We start from the raw sequence: 21,388 nt of genomic DNA on the forward strand, positions 1-21,388 counted from the left end.
CACTGCACTCCAGTCTGGGTGACAGAGCGAGATTCTGTTCCCCCCCCAAAAAAAGTCTCCCATTATATTGTGTGGGAGTCTAAGTCTCTTTATAGGTCTCTGAGGACTTGCTTTATGAATCTGGGTGCTCCTGTATTGGGTGCATATATATTTACGATAGTTAGCTCTTCTTGTTGAATTGATACCTTTACCATTATGTAATGGCCTTCTTTGTCTCTTTTGATCTTTGTTGGTTTAAAGTCTGTTTTATCAGAGACTAGGATTGCAACCCCTGCCTTTTTTTGTTTTCCATTTGCTTGGTAGATCTTCCTCCATCCCTTTATTTTGAGCCTATGTGTGTCTCTGCATGTGAGATGGGTTTCCTGAATACAGCACACTAATGGGTCTTGACTCTTTATCCAATTTGCCAGTCTGTATCTTTTAATTGGAGCATTTAGCCCATTTACATTTAAAGTTAATATGGTTATGTGTGAATTTAATCCTGTCATTATGATGTTAGCTGGTTATTTTGCTCGTTAGTTGATGCAGTTTCTTCCTAGCCTTGATAGTCTTTACAATTTGGCATGTTTTTGCAGTGGCTGGTACCGGTTGTTCCTTTCCATGTTTAGTGCTTCCTTCAGGAGTTCTTTTAGGGCAGGCCTAGTGGTGACAGAATCTCTCAGCATTTGCTTGTCTGTAAAGTATTTTATTTCTCCTTCAGTTATGAAGCTTAGTTTGGCTGGATATGAAATTCTGGGTTGAAAATTCTTTTCTTTAAGAATGTTGAATATTGGCCCCCACTCTCTTCTGGCTTGTAGAGTTTCTGCCGAGAGATCCGCTGTTAGTCTGATGGGCTTCCCTTTGTGGGTAACCCGCCCTTTCTCTCTGGCTGCCCTTAACATTTTTTCCTTCATTTCAACTTTGGTGAATCTGACAATTACAATTATGTGTCTTGGAGTTGCTCTTCTTGAGGAGTATCTTTGTGGCGTTCTCTGTATTTCCTGAATTTGAATGTTGGCCTGCCTTGCTAGATTGGGGAAATTCTCCTGGATAATATCCTGCAGAATGTTTTCCAACTTGGTTCCATTCTCCCCGTCACTTTCAGGTACACCAATCAGATGTAGATTTGGTCTTTTCACATAGTCCCATATTTCTTAGAGGCTTTGTTCGTTTCTTTGTATTCTTTTTTCTCTAAACTTCTCTTCTCGCTTCATTTCATTCATTTGACCTTCCATCACTGATACCCTTTCTTCCAGTTGATCGAATTGGCTACTGAGGCTTGTGCATTCGTCATGTAGTTCTCATGCCTTGGTTTTCAGCTCCATCAGGTCCTTTAAGGACTTCTCTGCATTGGTTATTCTAGTTAGCCATTCGTCTAATTTTTTTTCAAGGTTTTTAACTTCTTTGCCATGGGTTCAAACTTCCTCCTTTAGCTCGGAGTAGTTTGATCATCTGAAGCCTTCTCCTCTCAACTCGTCAAAGTCATTCTCCATCCAGCTTTGTTCCATTGCTGGTGAGGAGCTGTGTTCCTTTGGAGGAGGAGAGGCGCTCTGATTTTTAGAGTTTCCAGTTTTTCTGCTCTGTTTTTTCCCCATCTTTGTGGTTTTATCTACCTTTGGTCTTTGATGATGGTGACGTACAGATGGCGTTTTGGTGTGTATGTCCTTTCTGTTTGTTAGTTTTCCTTCTAACAGACAGGACCCTCAGCTTCAGGTCTGTTGGAGTTTGCTGGAGGTCCACTCCAGACCCTGTTTGCCTGGGTATCAGCAGCAGAGGCTGCAGAACAGCGGATATTGGTGAACAGCAAATGCTGCTGCCTGATCGTTCCTCTGGAAGTTTTATCTCAGAGGAGTACCCGGCCGTGTGAGGTGTCAGTCTGCCCCTGCTGGGGGGGTGCCTCCCAGTTAGGCTACTCGGGGACCAGGGACCCACTTGAGGAGGCAGTCTGTCAGTTCTCAGATCTCCAGCTGCGTGCTGGGAGAACCACTACTGTCTTTAAAGCTGCCAGGGACATTTAAGTCTGCAGAGGTTTTGGCTGCCTTTTGTTTGGCTATGTCCTGCCCCCAGAGGTGGAATCTACAGAGGCAGGCAGGCCTCCTTGAACTTTGGTGGGCTCCACCTAGTTGGAGCTTCCTGGCCGCTTTGTTTACCTACTCAAGCCTCAGCAATGGCAGGCGCCCCTCCCCCAGCCTCACTGCCACCTTGCAGTTTGATCTCAGACTGATGTGCTAGCAATTAGCGAGGCTCCGTGGGTGTAGGACCCTCCGAGCCAGGTGCGGGATATAATCTCCTGGTGTGCCATTTGCTAAGACCGTTGGAAAAGCGTAGTATTATGGTGGGAGTGACCCGATTTTCCAGGTGCCGTCTGTCACCCCTTTCTTTGACTAGGAAAGGGAATTCCCTGACCCCTTGTACTTCCCGGGTGAGGCGATGCCTTGCCCTGCTTTGGCTCATGCTCGGTGTGCTGCACCCACTGTCCTGCACCCACTTTCTGACACTCCTCAGTGAGATGAACCCGGTACCTCAGTTGGAAATGCAGAAATCACCTGTCTTCTGCGTCCCTCACGCTGGGAGCTGTAGACTGGAGCTGTTCCTATTCGGCCATCTTGGCTCCACCCCCCGGGACTAACATTTTTTGAATGCCTGCTATGTGCCTGATGCTGTAAAGTGCTTCCTCCATGGTTTCTAATTTAATGCTCTCAACAATATTGTGAGGTAGAGACATAATCCCAGCTTTACTGATAATGATGCTGAGCCTCAGACAGGCCCTGAAAGTCTTAGAAGTTCACATAACTGCTAAGAGGCAGAATTTCCATGCAAATCCCAGGAGTGCCTGGCTCCAAACCCACGATCCTCTTACTTCACCATGATGGTCCGCTTGCTGAATGGCTCAGCAAAGCAGCCAACTTACCATCTCCTTCACCTTGAAAAAGCCCTGATTCCATGAAAGGCAAAGAGGAGAGAGCCTGGAGAAGGTCAGTGGTCAGCACTAGAGGTGTGCCAAAGGACAGCAGTACCTGTCAGGAGAGCAGTACAGATGTGTGCATGCATGTACACACACATGCACACACATGTTAATATACATACATACACACACACACACACACCACCAGTGCTCTAACTCTCAAATCTAACACTACTACCCAGGAGTGTTTGTTGGGAGGTAGAGTAGGCAGGCCACCCACAACCGCCCCAAACACTGAGTCATTTTCAATTATGTGCGTGAACTAGTTGGCAAGATCAGTCAGAAAGTCTGCAGTCACAATAATCGTGGCCTAAGAGGGTCTCTACTGATGGCCTGTGCTAGTGGTTCTCAGCGTATTGTTCCTGGACCAGGAACATCAGTAGTACTTGGACCTTGTTAGAGGTGCAAATTCTTTGCTCTTCTCCCTACTCCCTGCATCCCAGACTAAATAAGAAACTCTGGGGGTAAAGCCCAATAAGTTGTGTTTTAACAAGTGCTCAGGGTGGTTCTGCTGCAGGGAATTACTGACTGATGGATGCATGGATTCCGTTATCCACCCATTCATTTATTCCTGCATTTTTTCATCCAACCCTAAAAGAGGTAACCAAAACAGAAACAATCCTATGTGTAAGCATGGTATATCTTCTCTGCTTCACCCAGCAAAGTGATATGAAAATGCATTGCAAATGTGTTTACAAATAAAGCTCCTTTCCCATCAGGGAGGATTCCTAGCGCTGTCAGCAAAAAAATGAAGAATGCTCCAAGATAGGCCTCGAGAGCTATTGTGAAACAGCTGCTGATGGAATGAAATCTGCTTGCTGTGCCTGATACCAGGCTGGGAGTGTCATAAGATCCTTTTCACAACTTGCTCCCACACTCAGTCTTGTCAGTGCAAAACAGGCATGTCCAAGGGGTCACCAGATTAGTACAGCACAAGACTCCACTGGGAAAGACCTTGGTGGATTCAGCAAATGAATGACTCCCTGGGAGTCAGACTCTCAGCCACACCCAAGACATGTCCTCCTCTTTTCTTATACACCTTCTTTATCCATGAGCACACCCAAACCCAACATCCTTGGTCCTGACCATGGGGGACTTTAGCTGCTGTGTAAAGCTCCTGAAACTCAAGGGTAGAAGAGATATGTTTTAAGAATACACAGGGTTTGCCTCAACCTTGACCAAAAGCAGGTCTGCCTGTTGGGAGGGCCCATCAGAGACAGCAACCCATCCTTGCCCCCAGTTTTCCACCCCTGTAAAGGCTTCCCAGACCTCTCTCTACCTCTATCATCCTGTCTCCAGGCCACTGTCCCCTGGCAAAGACACTGCTATGGTTTGGATGATGGTGACCCCTCCAAAATTTGTGTTGAAATATAATCCCCAATTGGCCGGGTGTGGTGGCTCATGCCTGTAATCCCAGCACTTTGGGAGGCTGAGGCGGGCGGATCACGAGGTCAGGAGATCGAGACCATCCTGGCTAACTCGGTGAAACTCTGTCTCTATTAAAATACAAAAAATCAGAAGGGCGTGGTGGCAGGCACCTATAGTTCCAGCTACTTTGGAGGCTGAGGCAGGAGAATGGCATGAACCCAGGAGGCAGAGCTTGCAGTGAGCCGAGATCGTGCCACTGCACTTCAGCCTGGGTGACAGAGTGAGACTCCGTCTCAAAAAAAAAAAAAAAAAAAAGAAATATAATCCCCAATTAAACAGTATTAAAAGGTGTAGCCTTTTGGAGGCCACATCTTTTAAGTCATGAGGGCTCTGCCCTCATAAATGGAATTAGCACCCTTATAACAAGGCTCAAGGTTGAAGGGAGCACTCTCTTGCCCTTCTGTCCCTTCCATCATGTGAAGACACAGTGCTCCTCCTCTCTGGACAATGCAGCAACAAGGTGCCATCTTGGAAGCAGAGGGCGGCCCTCATCAGACGCCAATCCTACCAGCACCATGATTTCGGACTTCACAGCCTCCAGAACTATGAGAAATAAGTTTTTATTCTTTATAAATTATGCAGTCTAAGTATTTTTGTTATTTAGTTTTTATTTCATAATCATAAACTTAACTGCAATACAGCTAGACATGGAAGGAATAAGGAAAATATGGAACCCAAAAAACTGCAGTGGGAGTACCCAGATTAGAGGATACTGTGAGCAAATGAGTTGGAGTGCTCTTCTGAGCTACAGAAGGAATGATCTGGTGGTTAAAACACAAGTCACATTTATTAGAGTTATCTACAGTCCGCAATAGTTCTTGTCGGTCTTGCCATTCCTGCTCCCAAAGTGCTCCATGGCTTCCACGATATTCATGCCCTGTTTCCCCTTGCCAAAGATCACATGGTTGCCATCCAACCACTCAATCTTGGCAGTGCAGATGAAAAACTAGGAACCATTTGCGTTGGGTCCAGCATTTTCCATGAACAAGATGCCAGGACCTGTATGCTTCAGGATGAAGTTCTCATCATCAAATTTCTCCCCATAGTTGGAATTGCCATCAACTATTAAGGCATGTGAAGTCACCACCCTGACACATAAACTCTGGGATAATTCTGTGAAAGCAGGAACCCTTATAACTAAATTATTTCTCTCCAGTGCTCAGAGCATGAAAATTTTCTGCTGTCTTTGGAACTTTGTCTACAAACAGTTAGAAGATGCAGCCCAAGGGCTCACCATGGGTGGCGATGTTGAAGAACATGGTGAGTTTGACTGTGGCTGGTGGCAGAGGTCTCTGTGTGTCAGCGGCATCTGCAAAGCAGCCCAATCTTAAGTATTTTGTTATAACAGCACATACAGACTAAGACAACTTCCTTGACCAAACTTTAATTGGGCTCATCTGAGCATTCTGCTTAACCAGGGCATGACCTTGGTCTGCCATTAGGCAAGAATCCTGCTAAGTTATTTTAGAGAGAATCTCCGCACCTTTTATATCTAATTACCTTTGATATCTGATCAAGTTTCTTATTCCCCACCCTTGATGTCTAAGTCCTTGGCTTCCCTCTACCAAGAATCCTATTAGACAATTTTAGCAAGAATCCCCCTACCCTTGATATCTCCTTTTGTTAATTCTCTATCCACTGACCTTTTCATTCTTCTCATTGGCAATACATCTATAGCTATCTTTGCTGAATTTGGAGTAAGTGCAATCTCTCTCCCCTCTTGTAATAGTCTTGAATAAAGTCTTCCTTACCATTTCAATAAGTGCCAGAATAATTTCTCTGTTATCTGCAGCTTTATTAAGGTATAAGTGACAAATAAATATTGTGTATATTGAAGGTATACGCTGTGATGATTTGATATATGTATACAGTGTGAAATATTTACCAGAATCAAGTTAATTACAACCTCATCACCTCACATAGTTGCCATTTTGTGTGTGTGTGTGTGGTAAAGGCACTTAAGATCTACTCTCTTAGCAAATTTCAAATATACAATAATTATTATTGACTATAATCACTATGACTACCAACAGAAGGACATACTGCTTGCCCTGGCTGTCTCCTTCCCCTTCCTCCAAGCTCTTGGAATAACATTGCTGTCAAAAAGTTGTGGGTAAAATGCAGATGTGTATATGTACACAGCTTTATTTGAGATTAAATTTAGGAGTTAAAATTTTAGAAAGTAAGACATGATGTATTTTAACCATAATAAGTAAGATCTTGAAATAAGAGGAAGGACACAAAAGATAACATTTCTACATCATTATCATTTGAAATATTACTATTCTTGGCATTCTCATGCCAAAGTATCTCCAACCCCAGCCAATGGTATATTTGCTATCCTGGATTTTCTGACATTATTTGTAGAGTACTGGGCTGGCAGTCAAAGCTCCCCCCACTATGGATAAAGACCACATTTTCAGTCCTGTTTTCCAGGAACTCTGTGCTCTTGGCAAATGGCACAATTTTCTGCTCCCTCAAAAGACTCCTTCATTTTTCCACAATGCTTTAGCATGCTAGGGTTGAATTTTCACAGGGCTTGGCCTTGGCACACACATGATGTCACCACATCCTCAGATCAAACCCATGAAAGAGCATTGGTACCCAGTTTTAGAGGAGAAGAAAACAAGTCTTGAGGAGAGTGTCTTGCCAGCCTTGTCTTTGTTAAAGAAACAGATTGCTGGAGATTAGAGAAGGGTGGAGGAATAAAGTTGTTTTGGTGTTAAATTACAAAATGAATATAAATCTTGAATACATGTTCAAGTTACATAAATGGTGTTTATTATTATGAAGTCTCGTTAGCAGCACTGGCATAAATTTGCCCCTCCAGCTCTATTTCCAGATTCCTTTCCCCTACCCCTATCTATTTTGTGGAGGGAGGATGTGAGGAGGGAAAAGAGGAGAGGGTGGGTATGTGGCGCCTACCCTGGGGAGGAGAGTTCTGTACTTGGGTGGTAGCTACAAAGTTGGATGTAGTTAAAGTGAGCCACCTTTCCCCATGCAGATTCCCTTGCTTGGCACGTAGTAGGCACAAACACATGTTTATTTCCAATTGACAGTTGTCTTTATTGATTGTGATTACATTTTTTCCTTCTGTTGCAGAAGACCTTACTGCTGATAGCACCATCTTCAAATTTGTGGAAGCTTATGTGAGTTGGATAGGAAAATTTCCTACATATAATGTTGGCTCTTCCATTTGTTTCTAATTTAGTATTTCTCAATTGATATTTTTTTTGTTGATTAGAAAAACAATTTTACTTCCTGCAGAATATACTGAAAATGTTTTTACTTCCTCTTTGAAACCACTTTTTATTTCTTCAGCCACCCTGATTTCTTGTCTCTTGGTTTTTTTTGAGCAGATTTTTAGTCCCTTTTTAATGGTCTCATAAGCAAGTGTGTTCATTTTGCTCATTCAATTTTACCTGTAAGCTATGCTAGGGCCTTCATAGAAGCTGACTGAGTAATACATGAAGAAGGATAGACATGTGGTATGTACTGTGGGCAGAATAAAACAAGGGGGCATAAAATGGCAACTTCCTACATTGCTTCCACTAGTATCTGTAGTGGTATATATCTGCCCTTTGAAGGGAGCAATTTGTTTGAAAGTCCCTTATGAGTTATCTGCTGTTGCATAACAACTTACCCCCGAACTTAGCTGCTTAAAATAATAATTTTTTATTATCTCACATATTTCTGAGTGTCAGGAATCTAGGAGTGGTTAAGTTGGGTGTTTTGGGCTTCAGGTCTCTCATGAGGTTGCAATTAAGAGGTTGGCTGAGGCCAGTTGTGGCAGCTCACACCTGTAATCCCAGCACTTTGGGATGCTGAGGCGGGTGGATCATGAGGTCAGAAGTTCAAGACCAGCCTGGCCAAGATGGTGAAACCCCATCTCTACTAAAACTACAAAAATTAGCCGGGCGTGGTGGCAGGCACCTATAATCCCAGCTACTTGTGAGGCTGAGGTAGAAGAATCGCTTGAACCCGGGCAGCAGAGGTTGCAGTGAGCCAAGATTGCGCCACTGCACTCCAGCCTAGGCGACAGAGTGAGACTCCGTCTCAAAAAAAAAAAAAAGTCAGCTGAAACTGAAGTCATTTGAAGGTTTCGGGTTAAAGGATCCACTTCCAAGACAGTTCACAGAGCTGTTTGCAAGATGCTTCAGTTCCTCATCATGTGGGTCTCTTTACAGGGCTGCTTGAGTGTACTCATGATATGGCTGCTGGCTTCCTCCAGAGGGAATGATCTGAAAGAGAGAGAGATAAAGGAGAAAGCTGTGATGTCTTTTATGATCTAGTCACACACTGTTGTTTTTGCCAGATTCTATTAGTTGGAAGCATGTCACTAAGTCCAACCCATACTTAAGGGGAAGGAAATTAGCATACACTTTTAGAGGGAATAATATCAAATAATTGTGGACATCTTTTTAAATCACCACAGTCCCCTTAATTTTACCTACCTATTACCTATTCATTCAACAAATATTTTCTGAACATGCCTACTTAGTGCTGGGTCCTATGCTAAATCCAAAGGATCCAGTGGTGAGAAAATAACAGTAAGAACATCGACTAAACCCTGACAAGGTTTCTCTTGATGTCTACAGACAGAGTGGGAGGTGAAGAGGTGGTCAGACAACAATCTGATAATGAAACAAACAAATGTGAAGAGAAGACGCTTAGATGATGTTGGCCCTGAATTGGAAAAGGCTGTCTGGGAGCTCGGCTGCCCACCCAGCATTCAGTGTCTGCTACCTCCTGTCTGTTATGCTTGTGTCTGGTTTTTTCAAGTTTTAATTTTTTTTTTAATTCTTAGTTTTTGTGGGTACATAGTAGGTGTATATATTTATGGGTTACATGAGATGTTTTGATACAGGCATGCAATATGTAATAATCACCTCATGGAGAATGGGGTACCCATCACATCAAGCATTTATCCTTTGTGTTACAAACGGTCCAGTTAGACTCTTTTAGTTATTATTAAAATGTACAATTAAATTATTTTTGACTATAGTCACCCTGTTGTGCTAGCAAATACTAGGTCTTATTCATTCTTTTTAACTATTTTATTGTACCTCTTAACCATTCCCACTTCCTCCCCACCACACACTATCCTTCCCAGCCTCTGGTAACCATCCTTCTACTCTATCTCCATGAGCTTAATTGTTTTAATTTTTAGCTCCCACAAATAAGTGAGAACATGCGATATTTGTTTTTCTGTGCGTGGCTTATTTCATTTAACATAATCACCTCCAGGTCCATCCATGTTGTTGCAAAAGACAGGATCTCATTCTTTTTATGGCTGAAGAGTACTCCATTGCGTATAAGTACCACATTTTCTTTATCCACTCATCTGTTGATGGACACTTAGGTTGCTTCCAAATCTTAGCTATTGTAAATAGCACTGCAATAAACATGGGAGTACAGATATATGTTCAATATACTGATTTTCTTTCTTTTGATTATGTGCCCAGAAGTGGGATTGCTAGATCGCATAGTAGCTCTGTTTTTACTTTTGTGAGGGAATCTCCAAACTATTCTCCATAGTGGTTGTACTAATTTACATTCCCACCAACAGTGTACAAGGGTTCCCTTTTCTCCACATCCTTGCCAGCATTTGTTATTGCCTGTCTTTTGGTTAAAAGCCAGTTTAACTGGGGTATAACTGGGGTAAGATGGTATCTCATTGTAGGTTTTTTGTTTTGTTTTGTTTTTTGTTCTTTTGAGATGAAGCCCCACTCTGTTGCCCAAGCTGGAGTGCAGTGGAGTGATCTTGGCTTGCTGCAACCTCCACCTCCCGGGTTCAAGCGATTCTCCTGCCTCAGCCTCCCAAGTAGCTGGGACTACAGGCACATGCCACCATGCCCGGCTAATTTTTGTATTTTTAGGAGAGACGGGGTTTCACTTTGTTGGCCAGGTTGGTCTTGAACTCCTGACCTCGTGATCTGCCCACCTTGGCCTCCCACCAAAGTGCTGGGATTACAGGCGAGAGCCACCGCGCCTGGCCGTTTTTTTCTTTTCTTTCCTTTTTTTTTTTTTTTTTTTTACAGAGTCTTGCTCTGTCACCCAGGCTGGAGTGCAGTGGTGCAATCTTGGCTCGCTGCAACCTCTGCCTCCCAGGTTCAAGCAATTCTTGTGCCTCACCCACGCAGCTGGGATTACAGGTGTTCACCATCACACTAGCTAATTTCTGTATTTTTAGTAGAGACGGGTTTTGCCATGTTGGCCAGGCTGGTCTGGAACTCCTGACCTCAAGCGATCTGCCCGCCTCAGCCTCCCAAAGTGCTGGGATTACAGGCGTGAGCCACCTCGCCTGGGTCAAATCACCATTATAACTTTCTTGTACTTTGATATTGGTACCTTCTCTAGGTTTCAGAAGTTCTCTGTTATTATCCCTTTGAATAAACTTTCTACCCCATCTCTTTTTCTACCTCCTCGTTAAGGTCAATAACAGATTTGCTCTTTTGAGACTATTTTCTAGATCCTGTAGTTGTGCTTCATTTATTTAAATTCTTTTTTCTTTTGTCTCCTCTGACTGTATTTTCAAATACCCTGTCTTCAAGCTCACTAATCCTTTCTTCTTCATCATCCATTCTGCTATTAAGGGACTCTGATGTATTCTTCAGTATGCCAATTGCATTTTTCAGCTCCAGAATTTCTGCTTGATTCTTTTAAATTATTTCCATTTCTTTGTTACATTTATCTGGTAGAATTCTGCATTCCTTCTCTGTGTTATCTTGAATTTCTTTGAATTTCCTCAATACAGCTATTTTGAATTCTCTGTCTAAAAGATAGCATGTCTCTTTTTCTCCAGAATTGGTGCCTGGTGCCTTATTTATTTTGTACGGTGAGGTCGTGTTTCCCTAGATGGTCTTGATGCTTGTGGATGTTCATCTGTGTCTGGGCATTGAAGAGCTAGGTATTTATTGTATTATTTACAGTCTGGGCTTATTTGTACCTATCTTTCTTGGGAAGGCTTTCCAGGTATTCAAAGGGACTTGGACGTTGTGATCTAAGCTGTATGCATTAGGAGGCACCCCAAGCCCAGTAACACTACGGTTCTTGCAGACCCATAGAGGTACTACCTTGGTGGTCTTGGATAAGATCTGGAAGAGTTCTCTGGATTACCCGGAAGAGACTCTTTTTCTCTTCCCTTTCTTTCTCTGAGACAAACAGAGTCTCTTTCTTTCTCTCTGTTTTTGTGCTGAGCCTCCTGGAGCTGGAGGTTAAGCGAGAAAAGTACACCTGTGGCCAGCACCACTGATAATTTTCTGGGTCAGACCTGAAGCCAGCACAGCACTGGGTCTTGCCCAAGGCCCTCTGTAACCACTACCTGGCTACCACCTATGTTTGCTCAAAGCCCTAGGGCTCTACAATCAATAGGTGGCAAAGCCAGTTAGGCTTGTGTCTTTCTTCCCTCCCCTTCCCACAGGCAGATAAGCCTCACTCCATGGTCACTGCCACCACAGGCCCATGGGGAAGTACTTCCAGATTACCATCAATGTTCACTTAAGGCCCAAGAGCTGTGCAGTCAGCTTGTAGTGAGTGCTTCCATGCCTGAGGCTCGTCCTTCAGGGCAGTGAACTCCCCTCTGGCCCAGGGCAGGTCTAGAAATGCTGTCCATGAGGCAAGGCCTGGAATCAGGGACCCCAAGAACCCACTTTGTGCTCTACTTCCAAGGACCAAGCTCATACCTAAGGTGCAAGAGAAAGTTCTCTTTACTTTTCCCTCCGCTTTTCTCAAACAGAAGCAGTTTTTCACCATAGCCACCAGAGTTGGCAATGTGCTGGGTCTCTCCTGAAACCAGCACATCTCAGAACCCAAGGCCCATAGTGTACTTTCTGGATATTGCTGCTGGTTATTCAGGGATCCAGGGCTCTTCAGTCAGCAGGTGATGGGTCCTGCCAGGACAGAGTCTTTCCCTTTAAGGGAGTGGGGTCCCTTTTGGCCCACAGTGTGTATAGAAATGTCATTTGGGAGCTAAGGCCTGGAATAGGGGCCTCACAACTCTGCCCAGCACCCTATCCTACTGTGTCTGAGCTGGTATCCAAGATGTAAGACAGTCTTCTTTACTCTTCCCTCTCCTCTACAGAAATGGAAGGAAGAGTCTCTTTTAAAGCTGTGAGCTGTCTGCCTGGGGTTGGAGGTGGGGTGGCATAAGCGTTCACTTAGCCTCCCTGGCTTGTGTCTCAATAGGTCATGTGACCCTCAGTCTTCTGGCTCTGGGCCCAGTTCAGCACTAGGACATGCCTAGGAATTGCAGTCCTTTTGGCCTAGACTGTCTTTCAAGTTTATTTAGGGCCCCAGAACACTTTAGCCTGTGGTGATAAGGCTTGTCAGAACTCAAGTTCTGACCACTGGGATGGGTAATTTCCCTCTGGCTAGGGATGGTCTAAATGCTCCCTCTGTGGGCAGGCATCAACTGAGTTCAGCCTGGTTTTGCTTTCTGCTATAACGGGGCATCACTGAGTTCAATGCTAAGTCTCATGATCACTGCATTCTCCTTCTCCCAAGCACATGAATTTTTTCTCCATGTCATGTGGCTGCTGCCAGGAGATGGGGGAAGGGTGCCATCAGCAATTCATGATGGTCTTTCCTACCCTCTTCAGTGCCTCTTTCAGGGATATGAAGTTAAAACCAGGTACTGTGAGTACTCACCTGATTTTTAGTTCTTTTGAAGGTGCTTTTTTGTGTAGTTGATAAATTTGGTGTTCCTGTTGGGGAGATGATCAGTGGAGCCTTCTATCCAGCCATCTTGCCCTGTCCTTCTCCATGTATGTATTTTGATAGGTGAAGACACAAGACCAAAATGTGCTTCCCAGAGAGCATGAATGAATACAATACTTACTCTGGACACTGATCTAGAAAGTCCAAAGAATGAAAGGAAATCCTACCAATTCATTTAAAAAGAATGTAATGTTTTTTCTCTCAACTCTATGTCAACGTAAAATAACCAAAAAGATCACAATCTAGTTTGGGAGTTTATTCAAGTGAAAAGGTTGAGGACAGCCTGCCCAGTAAGCACAGATTTCAAAGAATTCAAGTCAGTGTTCCAAAGAGTAGAAGTTCAAGATCGTTTATATAGATAAGGTTCAGGGAAGTTTAACAGAATTTCATTGTCTTTCTATGGAAGCCTTAATGTATAATTACAATGATACAATTGGTCAAGGTGGTCTTTTTCTTTTAGGAAAGGTATATTTAACATTCCACACCGAATATATAACTGTCATGGGGTACCTATTTGGGGGTGTTATCCGATCTGAGTTAGATGCAGGACAATAAAGGAGGCAGTTGGTCTATAACAAAGATCAGTGATTGGAAGGGGGAAGTCTAGTCTCTGATCTTTCCTAGTTATTTACAGAGCAAGAACAATGAGGAAGAGAGTTAATCTGTGATCTAAGAAGCAGAAGTTATAAATACGTGCTACATGACTCAGATCACAGTTACATCTCTCTTAAGTCTTTAAATGTCTTGAGGCTTCCAACTGCTTTTATATTTTATTTTCACAACTAGTCCCTTCAGAACAACTCATTATATCATGCAGAAATAGTATTAAGTTATCACACAATGTACAAAATATTATTTATTTTCCTTTTTGCTGTTAAATTTCCATAGGTTCTCCATGACATGGTTGGGCTGGTTTTTTTGGTTTGTTTGTTTTTGTTTTTGTTTTTGTTTTTGTTTTTTGAGACAGGGTTTCACTCTGTCGCCTAGGCTGGAGTGCAGTGGTGCAGTCTCAGCTCACCGCAATCTCTGTCTCCCAAGTTCAAGTGATTCTCCTTCCTCAGCCTCCTGAGTAGCTGGGATTATAGGCGCACACCACCACACCCGGCTAATTTTTGTATTTTTAGTAGAGATGGGGTTTCGCTATGTTGGCCAGGCTGGTCTCAAACTCCTGACCTTAAGGGATCTACCCACCTCGGCCTCCCAAAGTGCTGGAATTATAGATATGAGCCACCACGCCCAGCTGGGCTGTTTGTTTTATTATTATTATTATTATTATTTTCAGAAAGGAGGTAGTAGGGAGGGAGAAAACTTATATTGAATGAGCAATTACAACACACCGGTTACTTTATATAGGTTTTCTTATTTAATTCTCATTACCACCCTGAAAATAAAGTACTATTATCACCATTTTACAGATAAGGAGATGAACAGTTAGAACGGTTAGATAGTTTTTTTTAGGATCACTCAACTAGTGAGTGGAACAGGAAGGACTCAAATACAGACTTTGTTTAACTGTGGTGTTTATTATGGTGCTTCATTTTGAGATGGTGTGCTTTCAAGATTTAGGGTTACATTGATTTGAGCTTGCTAAGTCATAGAGTTCTTTTTTGATTAAATGCCAAAATGAATATAAATCTTTACCATATTTTCATGACACAAAAATAGTATTTGTTATTATGAAGGGCCACTAACATTAATACTCTGAGCTCCATGGCTCTAAGCCCCTAATTGCTCAGTTTCAGTAAATTTGATGTTCTATAGACCCATGCTTCTCAAACTGAAATGTGTAAACATATCACCTGGGGTATGTGGTTAAAATGCAGGCTCTTATCCAATAGGTCCCGAGTGGGGCCTAAGCTGCATGTCTAACAGGCTTTCACGTGGTGCTGATACTGCTTGTCTTCATATCATAGTTTGAGTAGCAAGACTGTGGAGTAGCAAGACTTAAATACTCTTGAAATTCCCGGGGTACTTCCAGCAGTCTAAGAATTTGTAGACACGGACAAGGATGGCTAGCTGTGCTAGAACTCTGAGGCTTCTGGTCACAGCTGTTTTACAGGGGTTCTCCTCTACACCAGAACTCTGCTTGTGGTACCACTTCTATCTCCTGTATATGAGTGGATTTGCTATGCCAAATCCACATAGCAGAGTGGAAATCTGCTATGCCAGGTATTACTGGATCTGCATGCTATTGCAGTCCCTTGATGTTAATTATAAGAGGATGATGAGCAATGGCAGCCTAGAAGAGGGTGAATCAGAGAGGCAAGTACGATAGGTATCTGGTGCTTGATAGGGAGGAGAGAGAGGGAGCCTGGACCATGAAGAGTTTTAGAAAGTTTAAACTTCCCTATATACCTCTGTAAGCCAGATGTTGAGTAAGGTTTTAGAGATATAGCGTCGTTACCCTCAAGAAAATTTCAGCCTGGAGGGGAAGACTGATGAGTAACCTACAGAACATAGTGATGGGTGTAAGTTTAGGGCATTATCAGAGCCTAGAGCAGAGCCATTTAACTCACACTTGGGATGGGGTGGGGAAGGAGCAGGGCAGTGGTGTGTTGGAAAATGTTTAACAATCAGTTCTCTGAAAAAAATAAAAGCTCTGATCTGTAGTGTTTGTTGACTTCCATGGTGTAAATACTTCCATCATGGCCAATTTCTTTTTTTTTTTTTATTTTTTTTTGAGATGGAGTCTCGCTCTGTCGCCCAGGCTGGAGTGCAGTGGTGTGATCTTGGCTCACTGCAAGCTCCGCCTCCTGGGTTCACACCATTCTCCTGCCTCAGCCTCCCGAGTAGCTGGGACTATAGGTGCCTGCCACCACGCCCAGCTATTTGTTTTTGTATTTTTTTTTTTTTCAGTAGAGATGGGGTTTCACCATGTTAGCCAGGATGGTCTCGATCTCCTGACCTCGTGATCCGCCCACCTCGGCCTCCCAAAGTGCTGGGATTACAGGCATGAGCCACTGCGCCTGGCTCATCATGGCCAATTTCAAGGTACTATCTTGATGTCACTGAACAAAGAATTGGGAAGAGATGTTCATAATTGGCTCTTGTAAGTCAGGCCAAGCTGACTCTAAGCACACCATTGAGGTAGTGAATCCTTCCCAAAGTAAATGTCTTTGTCAATTCGGGCTGTCATAACAAAGTACTATAGACTGGATGGCTTGTAAACAACAAGAGTTTATTCCTCACGTTTCTGGAGTCTAAGATCAGGGTGCCAGCATGGTTGGGCTCTGGTGAGGGCCCTCTTCCCAGGGTTGCAGACTTCTAACTTTTCACTGTACTCTCACATGGTAGAAAGAGGGCAAACTAGCTTTCTGGCCTCTTCTTATAAAGGCATTAATTCCATTCATGAGGGCTCCATGCTTATTACCTAATTACCTCTCAAAGTCCCCACCTCCTAATATTATCACACTGGGCATTGGGATTTCAACATATGGATTTTTTGAGGGAAGGAGGGACCCATTTAGACCATTGCAGTGGGAAAGAAGAGATTTGAAGGATAAGCAGAAGTTAGCCCATCAAATGTAGAGGACAAATGAGAGGATTCCAGGTAGAAGGATGGCAGGTGCAAATGACCCAAGGTAATAGGAAACATGGTGCTTTGGCAGTAAGTTATGAATTAGAGTGGAAGTGGACAGTCCTAAGTCTCCAAGTAGGCAAACATATAATTACAGAACACATTTAATTTTACTCTCTTTTCTGATCCCATTATTGCATTTGACAAATCATTTCCATCAAACTAGACCAATGCTGCATTTATGTCTGTGATGAGCTTAAATCTTAGTAAGGACATTAATTGAATCTATTTGTATTTTTTTTCAAGGTATTAAGCAAATCATCTTATTAGATACTCCACAAAGAGCATATTTGTAGTAAGTAATGACACAATTTTAGATTATTACCACTAAACTCTTTTAAAGATAATTTATAATCTACTTAAGAATTACACAGCTATCACAATGTGCATCTTAACAAAGGCACAAAAAGATAATGCTCCTCCATGGTTTATTATGATTTTGTGTATAAAAAGAAGATATATGAATACTTTTTTTCTCAACTTTTATTTTAGTTTCGGGGGTACATGTGCAGATTTGTCACATGGGTAATTGTATGTTGCTGAGGTTTGGTGTATAAATCATCTCACCACCCAGATTGTGAGCACAGTACTTGATAGGTAGTTTTTCAACCCTCGCCCCCCTCCAGCCTCCCGTCTAGTATTCCCCAGTGTCTGTTGTTTTCATCTTTATGTCCATGTGCACCCAATGTTTAGCTCCCACTTATAAGTCAGAATACGAGACATACGGTTTTCTGTTTCTGCATTAGTTTGCTTAGGATTATGGCCTCCAGCTGCATTGGTGTTGCTGCAAAGAACATGATCTCATTCTTTTTTTAATGGCTGTGTAGTATTCCATTGTGAATATGTACCACATTTTCTTTATCCAGTCCACCGTTGGTGGGCGGGTACCCGGGTTGATTCCATGTCTGCTATTGTGAATAGTGCTGCAATGAACATATGGGTGTGTGTGTCTTTTTGGTAGAACAATTTATTTTCCTTTGGATATATACTCAGTAATGGGGTGCTGAGTTAAATGGTCGTTCAACTCTAGTTCTTTGAGAAATCTTTAAAGTGTTCTCCATAGTGGCTGAACTAATTTACATTCCCACCAACAGTATATAAGTGTTCCCTTTTCTCTGCAGCCTCATCAACACCTGTTTTTCTTTTTTTTGCTTTTTAACAAAAGCCATTTTGACTGGTATGAGATGGTATTTTATTGTGGTTTTCATTTGCATTTCCCTGATGATTAGTGATGATGAGCACTTCTTCATCTATTTGCTGGCCTCATAGGTGTCTTCTTTTGAGAAGTATCGTTCATGTCCTTTGCCCATTTTTAATGGTGTTGTTTTTTGATTGTTGAATTTTAAAGTACTATAGATATGTACTTCTTTTTATTGTGGGCTTTTTCAAACCTACATAAAAATAGAGTGGTAATGAATTGCCATATTCTCACCAACCAACTTCAACAATTATAAACTCATAACTAATCTCATTTAATCCTTCTAAAGAGTTTGGACTTAAAAATCCATAACTTCAGTGTTATTATTATTCATCAAACAATTAACAATATTCCTTAACATTATTAAATCTTCATTTAGTGTTCTAATTTTCTTAATTGTCTAATTTTTCCTTTATAATTTGTTTAAAACAGGATTCAAAGTCCATATATTGTATTTTATTGACTTTTTAAAAGTTTCTCTTAATTTGTTGGTTCTCTGTGTATTTTTATTTTAAATAAAATATTTATTTTAAATAAAATTTTATTTTAAAATTATTTTATTTTACTTTGAGGTGGGGATTTGCTATGTTGTCCAGGCTGGTCTTGAACTTCTGGGTTCAAGTGATCCTTCTGCCTCAGCCTCCCAAGTAGCTGGGATTACAGGCATATGCTACTACACCCAGCTTTATTTTAAAATTATTTCAACTTCTTTGTTGAAGAAAACAGGTTAATTTAGCCTGTAAAATTTTCCACATTCTGGAATTTACTGACTGCATCCCTGTGGTATTGATTAACATATTATTTTGCTTCCTAGTTTCCTGTAAACTGGTAGATCTAGAGGCTTGTTCTGATTCAGGTTTGATTTTCTGGAAGGAATATTTCATAAATGTTATTTGTATTTCTTTCAAGAGGTACATACTATCTGACTGAAGCTCTCTTTTTTGTGATGTTAGTGGCCATCAATGGTCATAGCCTAGATTCATTATTTCCTTAGGGATTTGTAAGATGGTGATATTCAATTTCTGTAATTCCTTCTTCATTTATTGGTTAAAAAAAATGGCCTTGGTGCAGTGGCTCACGCCTGTATCCCCAACAGAGGCAGAGGTGGGCAGATCACCTGAGGCCAGGAGTTTGAGACCAGCCTGGCCAACATGGAGAAACCCCATCTCTACTAAAAATACAAAGTTAGCTGGGTGTGGTGGTGCATGCCTGTAATCCCAGCTACTCGGGAGGCTGAGGCAGAGAATCACTTGAACCTGGGAGGTGGAGGCTGCAGTGAGCCGAGATCGCGCCATTGCACTCCAGCCTGGGCAACAAAGCGAGACTGCATCTCAAAAACAAACAAACAAAACCCCCCAAACCCCCCTTTTTTTAGACGGAGTCTCACTCTGTTGCCCAGGCTGAAGTGCAGTGGCACCATCTTGGCTCACTGAAACCTCTGCCTTCTGGGTTCAAGTGATTCTGCTGCCTCAGCCTCCTGAGTAGCTGGGACTACAGGTGTGCACCACCATGCCCGGCTATTTTTTGTATTTTAGTAGAGACGGGGTTTCACCACGTTGGCCAGGCTGGTATCGAACTCCTGACCTCAGGTGATCCACCAGCTTCGGCCTCCCAAAGTGTTGGGATTACAGGCATGAGCCACTGTGCCTGGCCTAAAAAACCTTCTGTAAATGGAAAATTTCTCTCAATAACTGGTCACTGTGAGGGGCAATTTGGATTCCCTTAGCATCATCCTTCAAAGGTGGCCAATAAAGATTTTTTTTTTGATATTATTATGAATTCTTAGAGTTTTAACATATTCGATGTGTTTCGACTCATCAGTTCATTGCAGTTGTTATTTTTAATGATGCTCAAATTTGCTGTTGCAATCATTTTCAAGTTGGCTCCTGAATGCTTTTGACACAACCCCACTAGCCCTTGATAGCTTTCTTGCTTGGTAACTAGTAAAATAACATAAATAAGTAATTTGAAATATTTATGACATGTTAACTGCAAAATTGTGATTCTAAATTACCATTTCGTTATGCTTCATATAAAAGGAAATAAAAACTACCCTTGCATCCAACCTATGGAATGTTAAGTTGACACATAAGACAGTCAAAGCTTCCTTTAATTCAATATCCCCCCCCTTTTTTTTTTTTGAGACGGAGTGCAATGGCATGATCTCGACTCACTGCAACCTCTGCCTCCCGGGTTCAAGCAATTCTCGTGTCTCAGCCTCCCGAGTAGCTGTGATTACAGGTGCCCGCCCCCACGCTCGGCTAATTTTTGTGTTTTTAGTAGAGATGGGATTTTATCATGTTGGCCAGGCTGGTCTCGAACTCCTGAACTCAGGTGATCTGCCTGCCTTGGCCTCCCAAAGTGCTGGGATTACAGGCGTAAGCCACTGTGCCCGGCTCAATATCCTACTAATTTCTAGCTTTACTAGGCAGCTAGTGCATGATTTCCTCTTCTAAACAAAGCATTGATACTTATCTAAATAAAATAAAATAAAATTAAATTAAAATTAAAATGGAATGGGGTAGAATCTCTTCCTTCTTAAAAATGTGTTCCTGGAGCTACTAAAAAACTTGGATTTTCAAAGTCCTTGATAAAAACCATTCCCCTATATTGTAGAAGGGAAGTATTGGGACCCCTGATAATACTGGGTATAAGTATGCTATTCAGACTTGGCTTCTTTCCATCCTGCTGCATCAGAGGCTAGATTCACCTTTTATGTTTTCCCTTTCTTGCCGTCTTTAGTGTCTTGTTTAGCCACTCCAGTGAGTTTCCCTTTTGCCCTTCCTTTCCCTTATGTTTGTACTTTTTACTGAAGGTTTATCCTTTTACTTTGCCTTTTGTTTATGATTTAATTTTAACTTCTGCAGGAGCGGGTTTGAACGACTACCTTCAGATCTTCTCTTGGGCTCTTTATTTAGCACCTCTTTAGCTGAATTGACTTTCTTCTTATAAATCTTGGCAATGGCTGCAGTGGGGAGGGCAGGTGCCTGGGTGCCTGGGTGCCTGTGGGCCTTCATGAAGCTGGCCTACCTGTATATTTCATTTCTTGCTTATATTTCCAGATGCTATCTATAATAGCTATGTAGCTATAATAGCTATAATAGCTCTATGCAGTTTATATCAAAGTCTTCTCTTTATGTGAGAAAGAAAGCAGGGTAGGCCAGGACTAACATTTGGTGAAGTCCTTTTATGTGTCAGACATTCTTTGTTGATTTTCTCATTATGTTCTCTCTTAGAGTCACGTAAAAGGTAAAATAAGGAGGGCAAGAAAACACAATTTTTTAAAAAAGGAAATGGCATAGGGATTTTCTATTTTTTTCTCAGCCCCAGAAGGTAATTACTCTTACAATGCAGAAGTATCACCAGATACTATCTGCACAGGTTTTCCCATTTTTTCCTCACACCACTGTGGTAAAGCAGGGGGATCTGTCACCTCCACTGAGGAGACTGAGGCTCACAAGAGGTGATAACATATAAAACTCTATCAGTCATTTATGGAGTGGAGCAGAGGCTCTCAAAGTTC

General features: G+C 42.2%; 1 protein-coding gene and 1 pseudogene across 1 annotated transcript in view; one reads left to right on the forward strand and one right to left on the reverse strand.

The window, feature by feature from the left end:
• Nucleotides 1–21,388, forward strand: part of ARMCX4 (armadillo repeat containing X-linked 4) — a 117,711-nt gene that overhangs the window by 20,246 nt on the left and 76,077 nt on the right. Inside the window, exons 3-4 of the transcript NR_028407.3 lie at nt 5,529–5,632; nt 7,475–7,521. The gene's annotated coding sequence lies outside the window, so the exon portion shown is untranslated. The remainder of the gene's footprint in view (nt 1–5,528; nt 5,633–7,474; nt 7,522–21,388) is intronic.
• PPIAP90 (peptidylprolyl isomerase A pseudogene 90) lies at nt 5,184–5,580 on the reverse strand (annotated as a pseudogene).

Source organism: Homo sapiens, chromosome X (genome assembly GCF_000001405.40).
Source record: "Homo sapiens chromosome X, GRCh38.p14 Primary Assembly".
Lineage (NCBI taxonomy): Eukaryota > Metazoa > Chordata > Mammalia > Primates > Hominidae > Homo > Homo sapiens.